This window comes from Homo sapiens, chromosome 22, assembly GCF_000001405.40.
Source record: "Homo sapiens chromosome 22, GRCh38.p14 Primary Assembly".
Lineage (NCBI taxonomy): Eukaryota > Metazoa > Chordata > Mammalia > Primates > Hominidae > Homo > Homo sapiens.
Window position 1 is genome coordinate 37,099,916 of NC_000022.11, and position 24,201 is coordinate 37,124,116.

The 24,201-nt window shown below is 53.7% G+C and overlaps 1 protein-coding gene across 9 annotated transcripts in view, besides 1 other annotated feature; it reads right to left on the reverse strand.

The window, feature by feature from the left end:
* Positions 1–10,621, reverse strand: part of TMPRSS6 (transmembrane serine protease 6) — a 45,101-nt gene extending 34,480 nt beyond the window's left edge. For 4 of the 9 annotated variants that reach the window (XM_047441170.1, XM_011529989.3, NM_001374504.1 and 1 more), the window contains exons 1-2: positions 9,588–9,798; positions 3,301–3,503 (exon numbers count right to left, since the gene is read on the reverse strand). In XM_047441170.1, coding sequence (XP_047297126.1) covers positions 3,301–3,502 — 202 coding nt within the window. In that variant the 5' untranslated portion in view covers position 3,503; positions 9,588–9,798. Of the gene's footprint in view, positions 1–3,300; positions 3,504–3,598; positions 3,742–9,423; positions 9,523–9,587; positions 9,799–10,539 lie in introns of those variants that run through there. The other 5 variants (XM_047441171.1, NM_001289001.2, XM_024452168.2 and 2 more) reach the window with 3 other exon arrangements.
* Positions 8,028–8,529: an enhancer, noted in NCBI's record as "H3K4me1 hESC enhancer chr22:37503983-37504484 (GRCh37/hg19 assembly coordinates)". NCBI's record gives its function as "activates a minimal SCP1, AML or CMV promoter by ChIP-STARR-seq in primed H9 embryonic stem cells {active_cell/tissue: H9 hESC(primed)}" and the evidence as "EXISTENCE:reporter gene assay evidence [ECO:0000049][PMID:30033119]".

The window sequence follows — 24,201 nt, forward strand, 5'->3', positions numbered from 1 at the left end:
CTGGGTAAGATGGGAGGAATGGGAGGTGGTTTTTTTGTTTTCTTTTTGTTTTTGTTTTGTTTTGTTTTTGAGACAGAGTTTCGCTCTTGTTGCCTAGCTTGGAGTGCAATGGCTCAATCTCCGCTCACCACAACCTCTGCCTCCCGGGTTCAAGCGATTCTCCTGCCTCAGCCTCGCAAGTAGCTGGGATTACAGGCATGCACCACCACGCCCGGTTAATTTTGTATTTTTAGTAGAGACAGGGTTTCTGCATATTGGTCAGGCTGGTCTCGAACTCCTGACCTCAGGTGATCCATCTGCCTCGGCCTCCCAAAGTGCTGGGATTACGGGCGTGAGCCACGCGCCTGGCCCCAAGCGAGGTTTTAAGCAGCGAAGTTAGAGGATTTCGTTTGCTTTATCAAATGGTCCCTCTGCTGTTGAGAAAGGCTCTAAGGAGGCAGGGCAGAGGCAGGGAGAGCATCGAGGACACGCCTGCAGGGCTCCAGGGGAGAGATGTCCAGGGGGACAGAGCCTGGCCCCAGCTGTGGCAGAGGAGAGGGTGGGAAGTGATTGGCGTCAGCTGCTTTTGATGTGTTTTGGAGTTAGAGATGACCAGGTTTGCTGGCAAAGTGGGGCTGGGTGGAAAAGAAAGAAAGGAGTAAGGGGAAGGTGCCAGAAAGAAGTGGTCTTGGACTGGGATGTTGGAGGTACAGGTCTGGGGGAAATTATGCAGAGACCTCATGGTCTGAAAGCATAGGGTCCGAGATGCTCCTTAGACATTAAGAGGAAGAGCAGGGGCAGCTCTAGAGACAAGCTCAAGGGAGAGGCCCAGGCTAGAAATGCAAATGTGGGTGTTATCAGGGTATAAAGGGCACTTGAAGCTAAGGGTAGCAGATGAGATCACGAAAGAAGCGGGTGGAGAGAGAAAGGAGAGGCCCCACCCATCAGCAGGGACACAGAAAAAGCAACCTGCTGAGCGGAAAGGACCCGGTGGCGGCCCAAAGTCTAGGGAGGAAAGGGCTTCTGGAGGTGGGGGTGAGCCCCCGGGTCAAGTGCAATGATGACTGAGAAGTGGACATTGGATTTAGCAACCTGGGATGTTGGCGAGCTTGACAATGGCCATTGGAGTTGGGGGGCAGAGGGAGCCAGGTTGGAAAGGGCACAGAGAGACTGGGTGTGTGGACTGACAGCTCTTTCAAGGAGCAGAGAAATGGGGGAGGCACCCCAAGGGACACTGGGGGAGAGAGGGCATCCTTGCTGGTGCTGGGCCATTGTGTGGGCAGAGGGGGCGGGATCGGGGTCCCAGGAGGAGTGCACGTGATGCAGCTGGGAGGGCAGGTGGGCCAACATATATGGGGCTTCTCTTCTAAGCTGTTTTGTTTTCTCACTGAAGCAGGAGACAGGGGCAGGCGGGTGCTGGGGGCTTGAGAACACATAAAACTCTTGCCTGGGAGAGCAGGAAAGGGAAAGGACCCAGGAAATATGGTTGGTGGTATTAAGGGTCCTGCTACCATCCTTAGGAAGCCAGCCACACCCTCTCCTCGGGCCAGGCTGTCCTCCTCGCTTGGGGCCTGTCCTGCTCCAGTGTCACTGGTCACTTGTGCACCTCCTCTTCCAGACAGGGCAGGGCGTGTCTCTGATCCACTTCCTTGCCCAGCGCCCAGTCCCAGGAGCACAGCCTGGTCAAGGCGGGAGGAGTCTTTCAAACAGCTCCCAAAGTGCCTCCTTCAACCCTTAATCCCTCTGTGGGGGAGTTGGCTTCCCCCAGCAGAGGCTTGGGAGCACTCACCCCTTGGGTCCTCAGCCCCATGGAGCACCTCTCCTGGGGTGGGGGGTGATTTACCCCAGGAGCATAATCAGGGGGAATTAAACTCCTCTGCAAAGAGAAATAATTGGCAGGTGAGTTCCTGGCCCTCCAGCCCAGTGCCCCGTGGTTTACCCTGTAGACTAATTAGCCCGCTACCTGAGGAGGCCCCCACAGCCCTGTGCTATCTGGGGCACTGGCTTCCTGCTGGTGGTGAAATGCACATGGCGTCTACTGCCTGCGTTGCTCAACTCTGGGTAGAATCACTATAAGTCATTGCAAGCAGGCCCGTGTCAGACCTGGGGTTCCCAATAGTGTCACTCCCAGATGCTGGTTCCAGACACTCCCAACCCTGACCCCTTGGATCTAGGCCTACATGGATTTCTCTCCACTGCTACAAAGTTGGTCCCCAGGTTGCTTTCAACAGGCCTGGAATTCCACCAGGAGATTCAGCCAGTAAGAGCACTAGCTATCCTTTGCAGGATGTTTAATGGGATGCTTCTGATCACGCAGGCATCTGGGTTGTCCCTCCTGTGGCTTCCCAGCCCTCAGCTTCCTCTGTCCCATCACATGCTATGCTTTAGCGTAAATGTCAGGTCTGATGCCTTGGCTAAATCACAAGGACAGGGGCTATCCCCAGAACCTGGCACACAGGAGGTGCTTGGCACTGAGTAAATGAACAAATGAATGGGCCTTCTACAGTGTACAGTGTAGAGGCACAGTCCGATTTGGTTTCTCCATTACTTCCCACTGTCAAAGGCAGAAGGAAGAGGAGAGACTCCATCAATCTTAGAGAAAGATAATAGATGCTCAAGAGCATTTATTCCATGAATGAATGAACGGAGGCCTGGATGAATGGGCCCAGAGCACAGGCCAATTGCTCCCCGGGCACCAGGGGACTGACTGAGGGCTGTGACATCAGGGAGGGGCCAGCCATAATTAAGGACATGGCAGAGGGCCCCAAGGCTGGCTGCTCTCCAGCTGCCTGCTCCGTCCCCCATTCATGCTGGACCCTGGAGACCCAGAGGGGATAGAGCTGTGGTCCCCAGCCTAGAGGAGAACCTAGGCTAGGCTCAAGTGAGCAGAGGCACTAATTGGTACCAGGTACCATTGGTGCCTCTGGGCCTCCTTCTTTAGGGCTGGGTTGGCTCCAAGCCTCAGGGGCAACCCAGGAGGACTGCAGGCAAGGGAAGGCGATGTTTATGCTCTGTGGGCTGGCTGGCTCACAAGAACTGGGTGCTAGGAGGGCCCACTTTCCCCACCTGGTGGGGAGCTTTGGGGCACTTTGCCCAAGCAGGAAGCAGACCCGAGCCATAGGACCTGGAGCCAGGGTCTGACAGCATCTCCAGCTGGAAGGACAGGGAGGGAGACCCAGAGAACAGAAGTGACTTGCCCAAGGTCACACAGCAATATGCTAAGCACGGCTGAGCCTGGAACCCAGTCCTGTCCTGCTGTGCCTGCTACAGTCACCCCAAGTCCTCCCCAGGTGCCTCTCCCAGGCGGTCCCACAACGTTACCTAGGAAATACCAGAGTAGCACCCCCGCCGAAGCCAGCACGAGCAGGGCCAGCAGCACAAACAGGGGCACCAGGCGGAGGTAGCCCCGGGCTTTTCTCTTGGAGTCCTCACAGGCCTTGAACATCCCCTCCGGCTCCGCTTCCTCGCCATCACCTCCGTCCCCCTGCCCGCCAGCCACCTGGGGGGCCTCGGCCACGGGCATCCTGCCAGGGAAACAGACCAAAGTTGGAAACAGCCTCGCATTTGCAAGGGAGCCTCTGCTGAGCACCGGTGGGGCACGGAAGCAGGACTTCCCTGCCTTTTGGAGTGGAAGAGTAACAACATCAGGCGGCAGTGACTGCAAGTGGGTGCCGAGACAGCTCACAGAGGAGGGAAGTGCATCTCAGGTCAGCTCGCACCAGAGGGCAGGCACCAGAGCTGGACTGGGTCTGGCTCAAGAACCCCACCTTTGCTTCCCACTGGCTTCCCTATGGTCAGAGGACAGACGGAGGTCTCAGTACCTAAACACCCACCTCCCTAGAGGCTGCACCCACAGACAGAACTGAAGTACATGGGGTGCAGACTTCTGTAGACATCTGACCTCTTGCCCTCATTTCCCGTCCACGCAAGGAATGCTGTTTCTTGCTCCTGGTTCTGGTTCACGGAGCTTCCCACCACGCCCACACAGTCCATGCACTTAGCCCCCGCCCCAGAATCCCCTGAGCTGGCACTGCGCTGGGCCGGGGACCTGCCTTCCTTCACAGAGTACCGTCTCTCTCACCTTTCTGCTCTCAAAGTCTTGTGGCAGAGGAAGGGAACAAAAACTAATATTCATTTCGTGCCCTCATGAGACATCTCACACTTAATTTTCAGGTCACCCAGGGATGTGGAACCATTGTCCCATGTTTTCTTCCTCCAGCCCACACCACGTGGGTACTTCACCTGCTTTATCTCACTTAAACCTCCAGTTCTGCACCCATTGAACAGATAAGGAAACTGAGACCCAGAGTGTTCTAGCACTAACTCAGTCTAGGGCTTTTCCTAGCCCCATTTTCCCAGTGTGATTTGAATACCTGACATTCACTCCCAGACGCATTTTACAGATTAAAAAAACCCTGAAGCCCAGAGAGGCTAAGCCGCTTGCCCAAGATCACACAGCAGGGAAGTGGAGGTTGAGTCTAGATGTCTGACTCCCTGCTTTTTCCACGAATCTAAGATGCCTCCCATAAATGAGCTGTTAATTAACAAATCATGATTAAATAGCAACTGAATGTCGCCCCTCTCCACGCTCCAGGGTTCCAACTCTATTTTGAGACCCTTTCAAGCAAACATCCCAATGTATTTGGCCTTTGACGCAGGTTTCCCCACAGTACAGAGAAAGCCTTTGACCCACCCACCGGGAGAGCAAAGGCTCCAGACTACTGCGAAGTTCATCTCCTCTTACTATATCCATAAATACCGTGTAGCTTTAAAATGCACCCCAGGGCCGGGTGCCGTGGCTCACGCCTGTAATCCCAACACTTTGGGAGGCTGAGGTGAGTGGATCACCTGAGGTCAGGAGTTCGAGATCAGCCTGGCCAATATGGTGAAACCCTGTCACTATGAAAAATACAAAAATTAGCCGGCTGTGGTGGTGGGCACCTGTAATCCCAGCTACTCGGGAGGCTGAGGCAGGAGAATCACTTGAACCTGGTCAGGGGAGGTTGCAGTGAGCTGAGATCATGCCATTGTACTCCAGCCTGGGTGACAGAGCAAGACTCTGCTTGAGAAAAAAAAAAACATAAAAAAATAAATAAAATGCACCCCAGATGCAGGCGGGGCTTCCTTTGGGCTGTATCTTGGGATTTTACACAGCGGGTTTCCAAAAACGGGGCTCTTTAGTAATGCTCAAAGTCCTCCCAGGTGGATGTGAAGGGCCCTGGCCCTTCTCCCAGCTTCCTGGCTCCCTCCAGCTCCCCTTGGCATCGTTCCCAGCTAAGGGTCTTTGGTGTCAAGCCACAGTGACTCTGTTGAGCGGCCCCCATCAGATACAAGGAAGGGAGGGACTGCAGGGGACCCTCACTGGGCATGACATCCCCCTCCACAACTAAGCTAGGACATTCCTGCATGTGGAGTGGGCCCTACTGGCTTTTATGGGGCCAAGGCCAGGGAATGGTAAATGGTAAACGTCCGGCAACGGGTGGGACAGCCCCGCCCACTTCCTCAAATGTTCACAGCATCCCTAGTGAGAAACAGGCAAGAAACAGACCAGTAACAGGGTGCTGAGACTCTTGCATGAGGCCACATGGCAGGTTTGAGTCCCCAGCGCAGAGCTGCCTGTCTGTCCTGGGCTGGCCACCTCTGACTGAGGTGGCTGTCCTCAAAATCTGAGAAGGTTTGCTGGATTGGGAAGATCCCAGGTGATGGGTTGGCTCCTTGCCCTTCTTTCAGTCCCTCGTCCCCTCCCTCTGCCAGAGGAGGACACCATATTCCCGTCGCACCCCTTTTGTTTAAGGGACAGGATCTCACTCTGTCACCCAGGCTGGAGTATGGTAGCACGATCATAGCTCACCCCAGCCTCCAACTCCTGGGTTCGAGTGATCCTCCCACCTCAGCCTCCCAAGTAGCTGGGACTACAGGTGCACCAGCACACCTGGCTAATTTTATAGTTTTATTTTTTGTAGAGACCAGGTCTCAAACACCTGGCCTCAAGCGATCCCCTCACCTTGGCCTCCTGAAGTGTTGAGATTACAGATGTGAGCCACCATACCTGGCCCTGTTTTACTCTTGAGTCTGGATCACAAAGGAGCTATTTTGGGATGAGTCATAGAGCCATGGGGACTCGGGGGCATAGAGGTGGTAACAGGTGACATTTATTTCAATTGTCTCTGTTGCTTTATGTGCACTTTCTCATGTAAGCCTTACACAGATCCTGTGGGGACAGGTACTCTGATCACTCCTACTTTACAGATGGGAGAGTCAAGGCACAGAGAGGTTGAGCAGCTTGGCTAAGGTCACACAGCTGGTCAGCAGCACAGCCAGGCTGCAAAGTCAAGCAGATTGACTTCAGAGTGACGCCCTGATCACTGAGCCCTACTACCTCTCAGATAATCAGTGTAAAGAGAGGGAAACTGAGGCTCGGAGCAGGTCGTGGGTCCATTAGAGGAAGCCCGAAGAGGGGCAGCTCATGGTGGGGTGCTTGGTGGGCCTCCCCTCCCCTCTCATCCTCCAAGCCAGGCGTCCTTCTCTATGCAGATTTTGCCTCCCTCTAAATGCCCCTCGCATCCATCTGGGAGGACTTTGAGCAGCACAGAGAGGCTCATTTTCAGGACACCCTCTGTAAAAACCCAAGCCATGGTCCAAATGGCAGTAGTGGGAAATTAATTCCCCCGGGCTCATCATAACTTCCCACCCAAACCCCTGGGGCGGCCTCCTCACTAGGTCCCCTGCCTCCATTGCGTCTTCCAGCGCATCCTCCCTCCCCAGCTCAATCGCTCACCTGCTCAGGATCCTTTCACAGCTCCCAGCCACTTATCATCCAAACCCCTTGCTGCGACATCCAAGACCCTCCATGGCCAGGCTGCTGTCCACCCTCCTCGTGGCTATAACTTCCATCATGCACATGGTGCCCCAGGCCCACGAGACCCTGCCTTTGTGCAGCTGAGTCCCCCTGCCTGGACTGTGGGGAACTCTTACCAGGCGACCTGCCAGGCACTGGGTTCTGGGCCCCTGGCTAGTTAAGCTGCCCCCTCCCCTGGGCAGCCCTTGATCAGATCAAGAATATGCCTTGGCTTTGGGTCTTGCCTCTGTCCCCTACAGAACAGGCAGGGCCAGCATCTTGCTCACCTCTGGGGTTCCCCATGGAACGCCGCACAGCCCGTCACATGAGTGAAGGATCAGAAAGAATGAGTGAATGAAACTGCCAAGTCTCTAGGCCCCTGGTACAGGGCTTTCTATCTTGCTGCCTCCAGGAAGGAGGACTTGTGAGGCCTGGCACTGGGGCATGGACAATGGTGTGGGCCTGTGGGGTCCCAGGTTCAATGCTCAGTCACCCTATCTTTGTCTAGCACCTGCTTGGTGCCAGGCTCTGTGGTGGCGACAGGGTGGCACATGGTGACTCTAAGAGACCTCATTCCCATCCTCTTGGGTTTCCTGCCCAGCAGGAGGAGGGGCAGTGGACAGTTGTGAAGATGACGGTGCCACTCTTGTCTTTACTATCTTATAATACAACGGCTCCCCCATTCCCAGGGTCCAGCACCTTTGGAAAAGCCTGTGGCCCTACCTTCCAAATGCCCCCCAAAGCCAGCCCCTTCTTGGCCCCCCATGACTCCCACCATCATCCAGGCCACCGTCATCTGTCACCTCGACTCCTGCAATAGCCAATCACCCACCCCCCTACCCAGTGAGTTCTCACACAATGGCCACTGCGTGTTGTCACCATGTGCCCTGCCCACAAGCCTCGCACGGCTTCCATCCACCTAGAACACAGTCCCTAAAGACCCAGGGTCTCAGTTTTCCTGTCCTCTTTGCTGAATGGGAGGTTTGCTCCTTGCTGGGCCTGGGATGTTTTCCTTTCTGCTGGCCTCGTGGCTCCCTCCTTTACCTCCTCCAAAGGGTCAGATGTCACCTCTCCAGAGAGGCCTTCCCTGGGCACTCCCGTCTCTCCTGCATTTTTCTTTATAGCAATTACAGAGGCCTAAATTGCCTGATATGCAAATATGTCATTTATCTGCCTCCTCCCTGTCTGTAAGCTGCATGAGAGCAGAGTCTGGTACTCAGCGGACACTCAGTAATTGTTAAATGAATGAATGACAAGGTCCCAGCTCCTTCCTCCCTACAGAAGTCCAAGGTGCTGTGTGCATATGTGGCCTGGCCAACTTCTCCTGCCTCCTTTTTTCCCACCCTCTCTTTTCCCCGTCGCACCCCAAGGACACTGGACTTCCATTGGTGAGAAATTTTAACAATGGGATGGTAGCAAACATTTATGGATTAAGAGCAGCCAGCCGGCACCAAGAGCCCTCGTGGACCTTGAGCCCTGTCAGTGCTTGTTCACGGCCAGGCGTCCCCACACTCTTCCTTCTGCCTGGGCCCCCACCTCCCAACCTGGCCAGCTCTTATGCAGCCCCTGTCACCTCAGTTCAGACCTCACCTCTTCGCAGCTCTCCCAGAGTGCCCTAGAAGGGGCGGCTGCCCCTCGCGATGTGCAGCTTACCTGTGGGCACTCTCTCTTTGCCCCTCACATTGAACTCCTGGAAGCGGGGACTGTGCTCCAATTGCCACAGGGGCCTGAAGCAGTCCCCCAGCTCTGAGCACCATGGACCCCACCCTGGCACCTGCTCCTCACTCCCTCCTGCCCTTCTGGCCATTGGAGGGTCTCGGGTCTGCCTGCTGGAGGCTGAGCTCCTTGGGGCGGGGCCGCGACTCCCCCAGCAATGCAGATCCGGATTCAACCACTGCGTATGAACTCCTACCATGTGCCAGCCCTGTGCTGGGCAGTGCTGCAAACTCCACTGCAGCCTCCAACAGCCTGGGGTGCCTACTTTGCTGACTCTATTTAATGGCTGGGGAAACTGAGGTAGAGAGAGGTAACATGACTTACCCGAGGTCCCTCAGCCAGGGCAGAGCAGAGCAGAGCAGGGACTCTGGGCTAGGGCCATAGGGGCATCTTTCAGTGAAACCATTAGGCCCTAGAGTCCTGAGAGTGTGGGGGACTGGGTGGGGGTCCCTTCCACACATATAAACACACTCACAGACCCACAGATGTACACAGATGGAGACACGCGGAGGGATATACGCACATCTATTCATGACACAAAAATTCATAGATGCACGCCCTTCCTACACAGACACACACACGAACACACATACACATACATGCCAACTCTGAGCCTGTGAGCCCAGGGTCCTGGGCTTAAGTCAGTACATAGGTGCAATGTGGGGCTCCGGGCCTGTCTCCTACACCAGAAGGCCCAGGTGGGGTACCGGGTGTGGAGGGGGCAGCATGTCCAGTCCTGCGAGGCAGGGGTAGGGTGGCCTCTCCCTTCCTCCTGTCCCTGCCACCTGAATCCCAGGCCACCAACCACCCAGCACTGATGCTGTGCCTGTCCACACACCTGGTGTCACCCTGCGTGGTCCCTCCCCTCCCCAGCTCTGTGGGCCCCTCACCTTCTGCTCACTGATCACCCTCTGGCCGATGAGGCCCTGCAGGCCTGGCCTCGGAGCAGGGTAGGTGGCTCAGGCTGCAGGGAGCCAGGCCCAGCTCTTAGGGTGGACACTGTCACTAGGTCATTTATAGATCCCGGTCCCCTGTCCTGGAGGCCCCCGCTTACCTTTGGGAGCGGCAGATAGGTGCCGGGCCTGCACACAGGCCTCAGGAGCCTCTGTTTGTCCAGGCCAAGGCCTCCCCACCCCCACCCAGCCAGCCCAGGCTGGATCAATGGCCTAGAGCCATGACCAGGGTGTCTGGCCCTTGTCCCCTGTGGCCTGTGGCCTCAGGCTCCATGGAACTCCTCCTGCTGGGTCCTGGACAGCACTGTGACTAAGTACAGGTAAACAGGCAGGAGGTAGGAGAAGGCAGTGCCTGCCCCGCCCCATCTTCCCCCACCCCCGCATGGGCACCCCAGAGGCTGGCAGGCAGGTGCGGGAGATCTGAGCTCTCCCCCGAGGCCCGTTGCCTGGTGACATGCCTGCCTGGTTACAGCCCCTGGTCCCCGAGAGCATGAGGTAGGGACAGCCAAGGACTGGGGACTGTGCAGAGGCCGGTGCAGGTGAGTGCAGGGGCTCACAAGGGTGAGTCCAGGTGCTTACCTGGACAGGCGAGACTAAAGGAGCTGCTGGCCTGAGAGAGAGAAAAGGAGGCTGGGCCCATATACTCTGGGGACTGGAGAGGAGAAAGGGGAGGCAGGGGTGGGGTTTGATGCTATTTTCTGTTTAGCTGGGAATTATTTGAATTCCTACCTCGTTCTTTTTTTTTTTTTTTTTTTTTTTTAAGATGGAGTCTCACTCCGTCACCCAGGCTAGAGTGCAGTGGTGTGATTTCGGCTCACTGCAACCTCCGCCTCCCGGGTTCAAGCAATTCTCCTGCCTCAGCCTCCCAGGTAGCTGGGATTACAGCGCCCACCACCATGCCCGGCTAATTTTCATAATTTTAGAAGAGATGGGGTTTCACCATGTTAGCCAGGCTGGTCTCGAACTCCTGACCTCAAGTGATTCCACCCACCTCGACCTCCCAAAACGCTAGGATTACAGGCATGAGCGACCGCACGCAGCATGAATTCCTACCTGGTTCCGTAGCGCTGTGCTGTCCATGACGGTAGCCGCTGGTCACCCGTGGCTCTTGAGTCAGTCTGAACTGAGAAAAGCTGCACGGGGGAGACGCACACCAGGTTTCCAAGGCCAAGTGCAAACAGGATGTCAACCAACGCGATAACAATTTTTATATTGATTTTATGTTGAAATAACACTGGTGATCATGGGATAAATAAAATGTATTATTAAAAGCAATTTTCTTCTGGCTCTCTTGTTTTTTTTTTTTTCAGAGACAGGGTCTCATTAGGTTGCCAGGCTGGTCTGGAGCTCCTGGGCCCACATGATCCTCCTGCTTCAGCCTCCCAAGTAGCTGGGATTACAGGCGCGGGCCACCACACCCCTTGTTGCATGTGGATATTAGACAGGTTAAGTCACAAGTGTGACCTGCGTTGTTGTTCTATGGAACAGCGTTGCTGTGGAGATGGGTTTGAGCCATATGCGTGCCGAAGTGCCGGATGGGAGCCAGGGCTTTCTAGGGTGCGTGCAGGGCAGCGGGCGTCTGTCTCAGACAAGGCTGACTTTCAGCGAGTCTACATCCTGAGGCCAGAATGCGGGGTGCACGCCTGAGATGCTGTGTGCTGTGGGCATATGGGTCCCAGAGTGTGTGTGTAAGAGAGACAGTCTGGAATTTGTGTGTGTAGATTATGTATGTGTAGAATGTGCGTGTGTGTGTGTGTGTGTGTGTGTGGAGCGTAGGGATTGTGTGTGGGGTATAAGATTTGTGTGAGAGGTGTGTCTGTGAGGTTTGTATGGTGTGGGGTGGGGGGTGTGTGAAGTGTGTTGTGTGGGCATATGGACTGTGCATGTGTGTGCAGTGTGGGTGCTGGGAATGTGCAGTGTAAGGTGTGTGTGTCTTTGAGGTACGTATGGTGTGAGGTGTGTATGGAGCATGAGAGGTGTGTGCAGCTGTGTGTGTGTGTGTGTGCATGCTCACAGTATGTGTGGAATATGAGGCATGTGTTTAGTGTGAGGTGTGTGCATAGTGTGAGGTGTGTGTGTAGTGTAAGGTGTATGTAGTGTGAAGCATGTGTGGAGTGTGAAGCGTGTGTGTAGTGTGAGACGTGTGTGGAGTGTGAGGTGTGTGTGGAGCGTGAGGCATGTGTGGAGTGTGAGGCGTGTGAGTGGAGTGTGCAGCGGGTGTGAAGTGTGAGATGCTTATGGATTGGCTGGGATGGGACAGGGCCCCGCGCCCGGGCTTTGCCGTGACCGCCGGTTTTCAGCCCTACCTGGCTCCCTTTTAGTTGTAGGAACCTGGGCAGATTCCCTGACTTCTGAGCGGTGCTTCTTCCATCTGTCGAATGAAAAAAATTCGCCCCTTCTTGATGAACGGGAAACAACGTGTGCGAAGGCCCAGCACTGTGGGGGGCGCCGAGAGCGGGTTTCTCCTCTTCTCATGGTGACACGCTGGTGTGTCGGGGCCAGGTGTGCCTGTGCACTGAAGTCCAGGCAATGACAGGTGGCATGTGTGTGGTGCCTACCTGTGTGGCCCCTCACGCATGTCTCAAGCACGTAGATGCCCCATGCTCTCTGGCGTGTGCTCCCTAAGGGGGCCTGTAGCAGTAGGCAGGTACCTCCCTGACATGTGCGTGGGGGGCACCCCTGTGTCCTAAGGTGTGAAGGCCCCTGCCCATGGGGGCTGGGCATGAGCTCAGTACAGCACCATCTCCAGGCAGAGCCAGGGCTGGGCCAGGGCAGGAGGGCGCACTGTCAGGCTGGTTAGGATTCTGGGTTAGGGGGTACCTTCCCTCACCTTCTCCTGTGGCCCTCCCCAGAGTCCTGGCCCCTGCCCATGGGCCTGACCCTGACCCTGAGACCGAACACCATAGCCCTGCCCACTGTCCCTCGTCCCAGCCCCAACAACTCTGCCTCCTCCCCATAAACTCCCCTCTTCCCAGGCCCTGGGCCCCACCTTGCAAACTTCCTGAGGGACAGATGCTTGAGACAGAGCAGGGATAGTGTGTTTGTGTAGGGGGTGAAGACACCCCGATCCTAGCCTCTGTACCCCATCCTGTCCTTTGGAAGGTCAAAAGGCCCAGGCCCCCAGCCCAGGCTGCTAGCCCGACAGTCTGAAAAGCCGATCTTGCACAATCGACGTCCTCTAGACCTGGCGGCCACCTGGCCATCGATCCGACATGGCCTGGGGGGAGGGGCTGGCAATAAGCAAGCAGCAGCAAAATGCTGAGAGAGGTGTTTGAAAGCACAGACGTGGCTGGGTGCAGTGGCTTACCCCCACACCTGTAATCCCAGCACTTTGGGACGCCAAGGAGGGAGGATCCCTTCAGCCCAGGAGTTTGAGACCAGCCTAGTCAACATAGTGAGACCCTGTTTGTACAAAAAAAAATTTTTTTTAATTAGCTGGGCATAGTGGTGCACACCTGCAGATCCCACTACTAGGGAGGCTGAGGTGGGAGGATCACTTGAGCCCTGGAGTTGGAGGCTGTAGTGAGCCATAACTGTGCTGCTGCACTCCAGCCTGGGTGACAGAGCAAGACCCTGTCTTGAAAAGAAAGAGAAAAGGAGAGGAAAGAAGAGAAGAGAAAAGCACAGACAAGGGTCCCAGAAAGCCGTGGGGGTAGGGGACAGCCTGCCAAGGAGTCAGGGATTTCCTCTGTCAACAAGGGACACTCTTGTCCTCGCAGCAAAGAGACACGTTCACATAGATGGAACGGAAGCCTTGTTGCTCTGGGAATCTGCATTCCTAACACTGAGCCTCAGCCTCCTTGGTCCCCAAGGAAAAAGAAGCCTCCGGGAGGCCTGGTGAGGGGATGAGGGGAGGCTTGAAGGCTGGGCATGGTGGGGGCCGGACAGCGAGGAACACAGGCCTGACCCAGCAGGACAGGGCAGAGCAGGCCTCGGTGTGCCCACCACACTCAGGTGACCAAGATCCAGCGGGGTGCTGGAGAGTGGGCAGACCCAGCCAAAATCCCAGTCCCTCCACGTGTTGGTGACCCACAAGATGTCCCCAAGCTACCACTTCATGGCCTACGGATGGTGGGTGATAAAGCTGGTTGTTGTAGGCCAAAAAAAAAAAAAAAATGTAGGGTGGGCTCCTCGTCCGTATGATTGGTGTCCTTATCCAAAAGGGAAATATAGAGACAGAGACGCACGCCTACAGAGGGAATGCCGTGAAGGTAAAGGCAGAGAACGTGGCATTGCTTCTATAAGCCAAGGAACCCCACTGATTGCCAGCAAGACATCAGACGCCAAGAGAGAAGCCTGGAACACTCTTCCTCATACCTTCAGAAGGAACCAAGCCGGCCGACACCTGGATCTTGGACTCCAGCCCCCAGAACTGTGAGACACATTTCTGTCGTTCAAGCCCTTCAGGTGTGGGGTCATGTGAAGGCAGCCCTAGCCAACGAATACAATGCCCATTGCACTAGTATTAGGTAAATGCTATGCAAAGCCTGTTCCTGTGTCTAGCTTCCTCCCGGGCTCCTGCGAACAGCAGGCGCTCACTCATTGTCCACTGAAGAGACTGAAGAGCCAAGATATCTGTATTTTTATCAGGAGCCTTCAGGCCATGTGATGCCTTAAGCCATGGAGTGGACGCTCAGGCAGAGCGGAATTGGGGGTAACCTTGTCTGAGCTCAGAGAAAGCCCTAGAAGCAAGAACACAACAACCCAGCTCTTATACACAAACCCCCAAGTCACAGCACTTGTTCTCCGAAATTTTCCAGTTTGGGGTCTACTTGTTTCTTTCCCTATTCTCCCCACCCCCTTTTGACTGTGAGTCCCATGAAGATTTCTCAATCTTGCAAGTTGTCGGTCCCACTCCCTCAACACTCTTAGCCTAGAACAGTGCCTGGCACACAGGAGGAATAAATATTTGTTGAGTGAACAAATGACAGTTACTGTTAACTCCTTTGATGATAACACAGTAAGGATTTTGACAGCTGGGCCCTCCACACAGTCGATCACAATGATGCCACAAATCTAGGCTTCAGAGTGGGAATATGGGTCTCCACTGAGCAGAAGAGGAGACTGAGGATCTGAAAGGAGAAGTTCACCTGCCCCGGGTCCCGCCACCCACTGCAGGTGGAACATAGACTCCAGCCTGGTCTCTTTGATGGGGGGTGTCGCTGTTTCCAGGGGCTGCCATAACAGATGACCCCAAACTGGGTGGCTTAAAACAACAGGGATTTGTTCCTTCACAGCTCTGAGGCCAGATGTCTGAAATCAAAGTGTTGGTAGGCTCATTGCCTCTCCAGAGGCTCTAGAAAAGAAATCCCTCCTTGTCTCTTGCTAGCTTTCGGTCCTCTGGCAATTCTTGGTGTTTCCTGGCTTGGAGGTGCAACGCTCCAATCTCTGCCTCCATCATAGCACGAGCTTCTTCCTTGTGTGTGTGTCTCAGTGTTCAATTGCACACACTTTATAAAGACATCAGTCATCATGGATTTGTGCCCCACCCGAAACCAGTAGGACCCCATTTTAACTTGCTTCCATCTGCAAAGACCCTATTTCCAAATAAGGTCATATTCACAGGTTATGTGTAGGCATGAATTTTGAGGAGACACTGTTCAGTCCTAGTACAAGAACTGATGGTACTATTCTCGGTGGGAGGAAAGGATCAGATAGCAGGAGGGCCACCCTCTCCTCATCCTCCTGTCCTGTGGGCTAGCCACGTCTCAGAGCTCAAGGAGGCTGCTGTGGGAAATACCTTACCACCTTCTCTACTCTTTGCTGAGCCGAGCCTCTCTCTGAAACCTACAGGGGAGGCCCAGGGTCTGTGGTGAGGAGGTGAGGGGCGGGCTCTGTGTGCTCCAGCCAGACGCTGTCTAGACGGTGGCTGGAAGCATGGGGCTCCTCTGGGCTCCAGGGCAGGGTATGAGCTTCCCAGTGCTGCCAAAACAAACTGCCACCAATAGGGTGGCTCAAAACAACAGACACGGCCAGGTGCGCCGGCTCACGCCTGTAATCTCAGTACTTTGGGAGGCTGAGGCGGGAGAATCAGGAGGTCAGGAGTTCGAGACCAGCCTGGCCAACATGGTGAAACCCCATGTCTACTAAAAATACAAAAAATTATCTGGGCATAGTGGTGGGCACCTGTAATCCCAACTACTCAGGAGGCTGAGGCAGGAGAATCGCTTTAACCCGGGAGGCAGAGGTTGCAGTGAGCTGAGATCAAGCCACTGCACTCCAGCCCGGGTGACAGAGTGAGACTCTATCTCAAAAACAACAACAACAAAAAGAAAAAACCGGCCACTTATTCTCTCCCAGTTCTGGAGGCGGGCAGTCCAAACTCAAGGTGGCAGCAGGGCCACACGCCCTCCCTGAAGTCTCCAAGGGAGGGTCTTTCTTGCCTCTTCCTGGCTTTGGTGGTTGCTGGCGATCCCTGGTGTGCCTTGGCTTGTGACAGCGTCACTCCAAACTCTGCCTCTGCCATCTCATGGCTTTCTCCCTGTGCGTGGCTCCATGCCTCTTCTCCTCTGCTTTAAAGGACACCAGCCATGCTGGATTAGGGTCCACCCTAAGGACTTCATCTTCTTCACATCTGCAAAGACCCTATTTCCAAATGAGGTCACATTCATAGGTTAAAGGGTCAGGCCTTCAATGTATCTTTTGGGGTGACACAATCCAGCCCATATTAAGCAGGGTGAGGCAGGCAGGGGCAGGCTGGCTGTTGACAATGCTGTGGACAAGTGTCCCAAAGGTTCCACATGACCATGAGTCCTCAAGTCACTTCTGAAGTGTGTCCTCTCCCTACACCTGAGCTACCACCATCTTACTCTCCTCCCCCAAAATCACAGTTATGACCTGCTTCCTTCCACCTCCCACAGGCCTCTAAAGCCTGAACTGCTCAATAGATGCAACTTTTCTGAGGCCACCTAGGCAGGGTCCCCAGAGGCCACCTCTGCCATCTCTTTCCAATGCACGGTGTCCCTACTGCAATTCACTTGTTCGTTCATTTGATTGGTGTTGAGCCTCAACACAGCCACAAAAGAGAACAAGAAAAATAACATAAAAAGGATAAGGAGTCTGGGCAAGGTGGCTCATGCCTGTAATCCCAGCACTTTGGGAGGCCAAGGTGGGAGGAATATTTGAGCCCAGGAGTTCAAGATCAGCCTGGGCAACATAGCAAGACCCAGCCTCTACAAAAATACAAACATTAGCCAAGTGTGGCAGCATGTACCTGTAGTCCCAACTACTCGGGAGGCTGAGGGGAGAGGATCACTTGAGCCCAAGAAGTTGAGGCTGCAGTGAGCCATGCTCCTGCCACTGCACTCCAACCTGGGCAAGACCCTGTCTCTAAAAAAATAAAAATGTAAGGAGGTTAGGAAGCAGCAAGGAAGATTTTTTTTCTAGAGCCTTCAGGGAGAGAATGAGCCTGCCAACACTTTGATTTTAGATAAGAATAAAAAGAGAGGGGGGCCGGGCGCAGTGGCTCACGCCTGTAATCCCAGCACTTTGGGAGGCCGAGGCAGGTGGATTACGAGGTCAGGAGATCAAGACCATCCTGGCTAACACAGTGAAACTCCATCTCTACTAAACATACAAAAAAATTAGCTGGGAGTGGTGGCAGGCGCCTATAGTCCCAGCTACTCGGGAGGCTGAGGCAGGAGAATCTCTTGAACCTAGGAGGCAGAGGTTGCAGTGAGCCGAAATCCACCACTGCACTCCAGCCTAGACGACAGAGCAAGACTCCATCTCAAAAAAAGAAAAAAGAAAGAACAAGAACAAAGATGTAAAAGAAATAGAACAAGTCTCAGTTGCTGCCCTTGAAGAAAGCTGCCAAGCCTAGGGAAACAGACAGTGGGACAGAAGCTTGGCAGGCACTTGGCCCCGCCCACCACGTGACAGCACCCGGTGGAGGACAGGACCCTCAGCAGTACATGGAGATGCTTCTTATGTGCTTGGAGGAATAAGAATCCACCAGAATGGCCTGTCACCAACAGGTGTGGGACCTCTCAGGAGTCCCCATCTCTGTGGCTTGTCTTCCTCCATCTGTACAGGGATTTAAGGATCCTAAGGCTTAGAATAATCTATGGCTTACAATACAGCTAACCAGACCCAGGATAGGCCTGATCTCCAATAAGAAAAATGGTCACTTCACCCATCTGAGGTGAGAAAGTGGAGTTTCAGAGCAGTGATTTGCTTGATGTCACACAGTCAGGAAGTGCTAGGAGCTGGATTCAAACCCAGGACCCTCTGGCTTCAGAGCCAGTTGTCCTTCCCAGTGACACCTTCTCCTGTCTCTGTGTTCCTTCCCACTGCCCACACCACCACTCCTGAGCCCTCGGCCTCTGTCTCAGCCCTGGGTCCTGGCCTCTGGCCTCTGTCTGAAGATGCTGCTAGGACAAACTCACCACCAGGCCCTGGCATGCCCAGTCGCTTCTTTCCCAGATGGGCAGTCGGGGTACAGATGCTGATCAGGGGTTTGGGGTTTGGGAGGGGCTGCTTCAAGCCACCTTGGGGACACAGAATGGAAACTCTGCATGCATCACTCAGCCTGACCTTCTCCTCCACTGTGGGATTGTAGCAGGTGGGGCTCCCAGAACAGATAGGGGGACTATATTAGTCCATTTTCATGCTGTTATGAAAAAATACCCAAGACTGGGTAATTTATAAAGAAAAAGAGGTTTAATGGCCTCACAGTTCCACATGGCTGCGGAGGCCTCAAAATCATGGCAGAAGGCAAAGGAGGAGTAAGGGCACGTCTTACATGGTGGCGGGCAAGAGTGTGTGCAGGGGAACTGTCCTTTACAAAACCATTAGAGCTCATGAGACTTATTCACTATCACAAGAACGGCATGGGAAAAACCTGCCCCCATGATTCAATTACCTCCCACCTGGTCCTTCCCACTACACGTGGGGATGATGGAAGCTACAATTTGAAATGAGATTTGGGTGGGGACACAGCCAAACCACATCAGGGAGCCAGACCCAGAGAGTGGGTGGAGACTACCCAAGGTTGCACAGCAATGCTGAGGCAGGGCTGGGACTGGAACCCAGGTGACCTGATTCCCAGCCTGTACTCTTCCCAGTATACTGTCCAAAAATGAATTCTAAAAACTAAAACAAAAGAACAATATTACTTATTTCCATATACATAAGGCTTTAGGCAGAGAGTCAACAAAAATTTCCAAAGGACACAAAATTGCAATTTTCAACTTTTTTTTTTTTTTTTTTTTTTTTGCCTCAAAACATTGCAGGCAGAGCCTCCTCTAAAGACAGTCCGGTTTGTGGGACTAGCTCTTGCCCTTGAAGGGGGCCCTGTCCAAGGTCACAGACACCTAAATTTCCCCAAGGAGGCTCTTTCCTGCTGCCCTTTCATGGGAAGACCCCAGCACTCACTCAGGTTCCCCGAGTACCTCTATTCTCCTTGGTCATCTGTGTCAGACAGCTGTTGACTTGGTGGGCCCGAGAGAGCTCCTGATACCAGTCGGCTCTGTTGCCTCTTCCCTCCACGTTGGTTTCTCAGAACCTTGGTCATTCCAGGTTTTCAAAGCCTCTAAGTAACTTCCCCTCCCACCTTTCCTTCCTTCCTTTCTCCTTTTCCTTTTTCCCTCCTCCCCTTTGCCCATTTACCAACCTACACATCCATTCAACGAACAACCTGTGGCAGGTGCTGGGATTCAATAATGGATGGATCACGGAGGATCGAGGATCGTTAACTGGAGAGAGTTGCAGCTGAGCTCAGCAAGCAGGGGGTGGGGGCACGGAGCAGCCAGCACACCTGGGGTCAGGAAGAAGTGATCTTTACAATAAATCCCGCAGGATGCTCTTCCTTTCTCCCTCCCTCTCTACCGTGCAGACACATTTTGCTTGGCTTGCTTGTTTTCTGTTTTTAAAAGATGAGTGGCCAATATTTAAAAATAAGGACACTTTGCAGGAAAAACTGAATTTTCAGCTTCTCTTAAAAATGTAGAAGATCAGGCCTGCGCAGTGGCTCAGGCCTGTAATCCCAGCACTTTGGGAGGTGGAGGCGGGCGGATCACCTGAGGTCGGGAATTCAAGACCAGCCTGACCAACGTGGAGAAACCCCGTCTCTACTGAAAATACAAAATTCGCCAGGCGTGGTGGTGCGTGCCTGTAGTTTCAGCTACTCGGGAGGCTGAGGCAGGAGAATCGCTTGAACCCGGGAGGCTGAGGTTGCGGTGAGCTGAGATCACGCCATTGCACTCCAGCCTAGGCAACAAGAGTGAAACTCTGTCTTAAAAAAAAAAAAAAAAGTAGATGACCTAGCTGATCCCCAACATGGCAACAATCAGCGATGGCTGCCCTGGAGCAATTTCGGTTTGACACAGACCTCACCACTCCCTATTGTATCACACTGCATGGGTTAAAAAGAGTTACTAGAGTCAGGAGCCTGAGTTTGAGTCCTGGCTCCACCACTTATTTGGCCACATGCCCTTGAGCTACAAGGTATTTGATTTTACTGGGCCTTCATTTCCTCATATAGAAAATGAGACAGTAAGCCTAAGTGTTGTGAAGATTGACAGAACCTGTGTGAGGAACTTAGAACGGGGCCCGCATCTACTGGGTGTACACCATCAGCATTTCATCACTGCAGCTAATATCTACCCAAACCCCAGTCCCTGTCAGCATCTGAGTTTGGGATCCCAGCAGCAAAGGTTTCATTGTTAGTTTCATATTTGCATAAATTACAAGCAATAGAATTCTCTCGCCAACATGTACCGTTCCTGGCTGATTGCTCGGACTGACAGTGTAACGGGTGCTCTCCTACACCCACTGTTACGAGAATCACTGGACCGTTGGCCGGGGACGGCCAGCCACCCACCATCAAGCCCGTTCCAAGCAACCCGAGCTCTCTCAAACCGAAATGTCCAATTTGAACAGTCCAGTGCACATAGTAGAAGCTCAATAAATAGATTAGAATGAATGAGCAGTAGTTACTGGGCACAGGGTGGGCTATCTTTTTTTTTTTTCTTTTTTTTTTTTTGAGACAGAGTCTCACTCTGTTGTCCAGGCTGGAGTGCAGTGGCGCGATCTCAGCTCACTGCAGCCTCCGCCTCCTGGGTTCAAGTGATTCTCCTGTCTCAGCTTCCTGAGTAGATGGGGCTACAGGCGCAGGCCACCATGCCCAGCTAATTTTTTTGTATTTTTAGTAGAGATGGGGTTTCACCATGTTGGTCAGGCCGGTCTCAAACTCCTGACCTCAGGTGATCCACCCACCTTGGCCTCCCAAAGTGCTGGGATTACAGGAGTGAGCTACCGCACCCGGCCTTTGAAATTTCACTTCTTCACCCCATTTTAGATGAAGAGACTGAGGCTCAAAGGGGCCAAGTGGTACAGAATTGGGAGGGACAAAATGTCCTCGGCCCTGAGCTAGGCGGGTGGCAGCCAGCACGGCTGGATTTGAGAGGTAGGAAGAAGACCTCATAGGTTTCCTTCAGCATTTGTCACACCTCCTAGAATCTTGTCATCATAGATTTGGGCCTTATCTCAAACCATCATCCCCCAAGACCTACCCAGGTGCTTGAGGGAGATGAGCTGTCAGGATTAGGAGGTTGGAAAGGGCAGGGAGGTGGCAGGAGACACCAAGCCTGCAGGTGTCCAGCTCATCCCCTGCCCCAAACAGCCATCACCAACACAGCAACAGAGTATCCAAAAGGCCAGCCAGCAAGTCAGCAGCTTCCACATCTCTGGCCCCTGGCTGCCCTGGTCACAGCCCTGTCTCTGTCTGTCTCTCCCACGGCTAGCTCTTCTCTCCTAAGTACTTTACATTAACTTACTTCTTTTTTTGTAACAGGGCCTCACTCTGTTGCCCAGGCTGGAGTGCAGTGGCACGATCAATGCTCACTGCAGCCTCAATCTCCTATGCTCAAGGGATCTTCCCACCTCGGCCTCCCTAGTAGCTAGGACTACACGTATGTACCACCATGCCCGGCTAATTTTCTGTATATATTTTTTGTAGACACAGGGTCTCACCATGTTAGCCAGGCTGGTCTTGGACTCCTGGGCTCAAGGGATCCTCCCACCTGGACCTCCCTAAGTGCTGGATTACAGGTGCAAGCCACAGCACCCTGCCACATTCAATTATTTCTTTCATCCTCACAACAGTCCTGGTATTGTCCCCTTTTACAGATGAGAAAACTGAGGCACGGAGAAGCTTAGGTATTTGTCCAAAGTCACAGCTGATAGGCAGCAGGGCCAGTACTTAACCCAGGCTGCGGGGCTCCAGAGTGAGGGGGCCAGTACTTAACCCGGCTGCGGGGCTCCAGAGTGAGGGGGCCAGTACTTAACCCGGCTGCGGGGCTCCAGAGTTAAGGCTATAACCACTATGCCACACTGCCCCAAGGTGTCCACAAAGGCTGAAAGTGTAGAATGAAGGGGGCTTTGCTCGCTGCTGGATCCCCAACACCGTGACTTGCAGGTACTAGGCCCTCCTAAATGTCTGTTGAATGAATAAATGAATGAATGAACAATTCCTTCCTCTTCTAAGAACCATCCTCAAGCAGCTATCCAAAACTACCTGAACTCTGGCTCAGCCTCTCTTGCTAAAGCCCCGCACGGCATTCCACAATTCCTCCCCAGGTTAGAAGACTCCACCAGAGTGTTCACTGGCACCATTTCCTGATCAAGGCTTGTGCTCACAGGACCGGGTTGATTTTCTTCCACACCGAAGGAGGGCTGTGATCAGCTGGTCTACTTGTATGTGTCCTCCAGAGTCACTCCCTCCCAGACAAGGTTGGAGACTCTTTGTGGACAGAGCAGTAGCCGGCCTCCTCTCTGTGGCCAGTGCCCAGCATGAGGCCAGGTAAATAGAGGAATGGGAGATGAGACATTGTCTGCCAGCTCTGCTCCTCCCTCCGTCTGCATCCTGGCTTCCTGGAATCGTAGACTGGGCACTCCCCCCTCCACTACCCGACCTGCGTCTCTCACCACTCAGCGCTTCCTGCCTCACTTTCTGCCAGGCTCTGTGATGGGAGCCTCGAGTGTGTCATAGCCCTGGTGGTGGAAAATGTCTCTAAGCAAGTCAGCCTAGGGGATGTCCCAGGCCTGTCACAGGTGCTGGTGGTGAGCTCAAATTTAATCAACACTCCCTCCCCCACTACCAAACGCACTGTGTGGCCCGGGACACGGCACCGCCATCCCCTCAGGGCCTCTGGGCCTCTACTGAGGAACAAGACTTAGAACCTCTGTCATTCCTATCTTGGTAGGTCACTGTGTGTTTGTGTGGGATACCAGGGGTGCACACCCTTTAGAAGCTGTAAGAAGCTGTGCCATGTGGGTGCTAAATATTGCCTGGGTTCAACTTGCTCCACTACATTCTAGCTGTGTGATCATGGGTAAGTCACTTGGCCACTCTGAGCCATAGGCTCAGCTATAAAATGGGCTAAGAATAGTACCTCCCTCATGGCATTTGCTTAAGGATCCAGTGAGTTAAGGATGCTTCCAGAGAGTGGAAGGATCAATGTGCTTATAACAGAGTCTGACGCATCTAAGTGCTCAATACATGCAGTTCTCGAAGACTTTGAAGGACCGAGAACATTCCACAGTGGCTCTCACAGATCCTTGACCCCAAAGCTGTCCCTCCCCCACTGCCTGTTGATAAAGCCCAAATTGTCAAATAGTGGCTGCTAATCTGCAAGAACAATTCCTCTCTCTTCCAAGCACCATCCTCAATCAACTATAACCAAAACTAGCTGAGTTCCAGTTGAGCCCCCTTGCTAAAGCTCCACCCAACATTCCACCCTCCTTCCCCAATTAGAAGGTCCTTTCAGAGTCTTCTTGTGCCTGGCTTTTCTGACTAAAGTCTTGAGCTAACGGGGCTCTACCTGATGTTCTTCCAAAGCTATTAGTATCACCCTTAGATCCCCAGAATCTAGCCCAGGCTCTGACCCACGGCACAACAGTTGGTTATAACAGAGGTAGCTCAGGAGGGGGACAGTAGGAGGAAGTAATCTACTCTACTTGGGGGCAAATCAGAGGGCCTGCCAGAAGCAGAGATGCTTGAGTGGGGTTCTGAGGGATGCATAGGAACCTGAGGGTAGATAGCTTGGGTGGCAGGGCAGGGCTACTTCAAACCCAGGGATCAGCAGGTGCCAAGCAAATGAGTCAGTTGCAATCCCTACTCTCATCCCCACCCCCCAACCCCAGCGTGAACTCTTGATGTAAAATACATGTAGCCCAGGCCTTAAGCCATATTCCATGTGGCACCTGGAACCACAGAATGTCAGGGCTAGGAGAGCACTTAGAAATCATCCAATCTGCCTGCCCAATTCACAGATGGGGCAACTGAGGCATAAGAGCAGATGGGACCTCCCCAAAGTCCCCCAAGCCATGGACGATCACATTAAGGACCTCAGCCATTATCCTGAAAATGACAGTGGGTCACTGGAGGTTTAGCAAGGATGTGGTGTGGCCAGATACGACCTTTAGCCAGATCAGCCTGGCAGGGCTCAGAGGTGGAAGGATCAGAGGGGCAGGCGGCTGTGGGGACAGGCAGACCGAGGAGGAGGCTGAGCAGGCATACGAGTGAGAGGTGATGGCGTCAGGTCTGTGGCACGGAGGTCACCAGGGTGGGGGTGGGAGAAGCCAGTGAAATGCTGGCCCAGAGGGACACTGGACCAGCTTGGAGGGTGGAGGCAGTAGGAGGGGCTCAGCAGTTACGGAGGAGGAGGAGGTAAGACCACCTCGGCCTGACCAACCAGCATCGCCCTCAGCCTT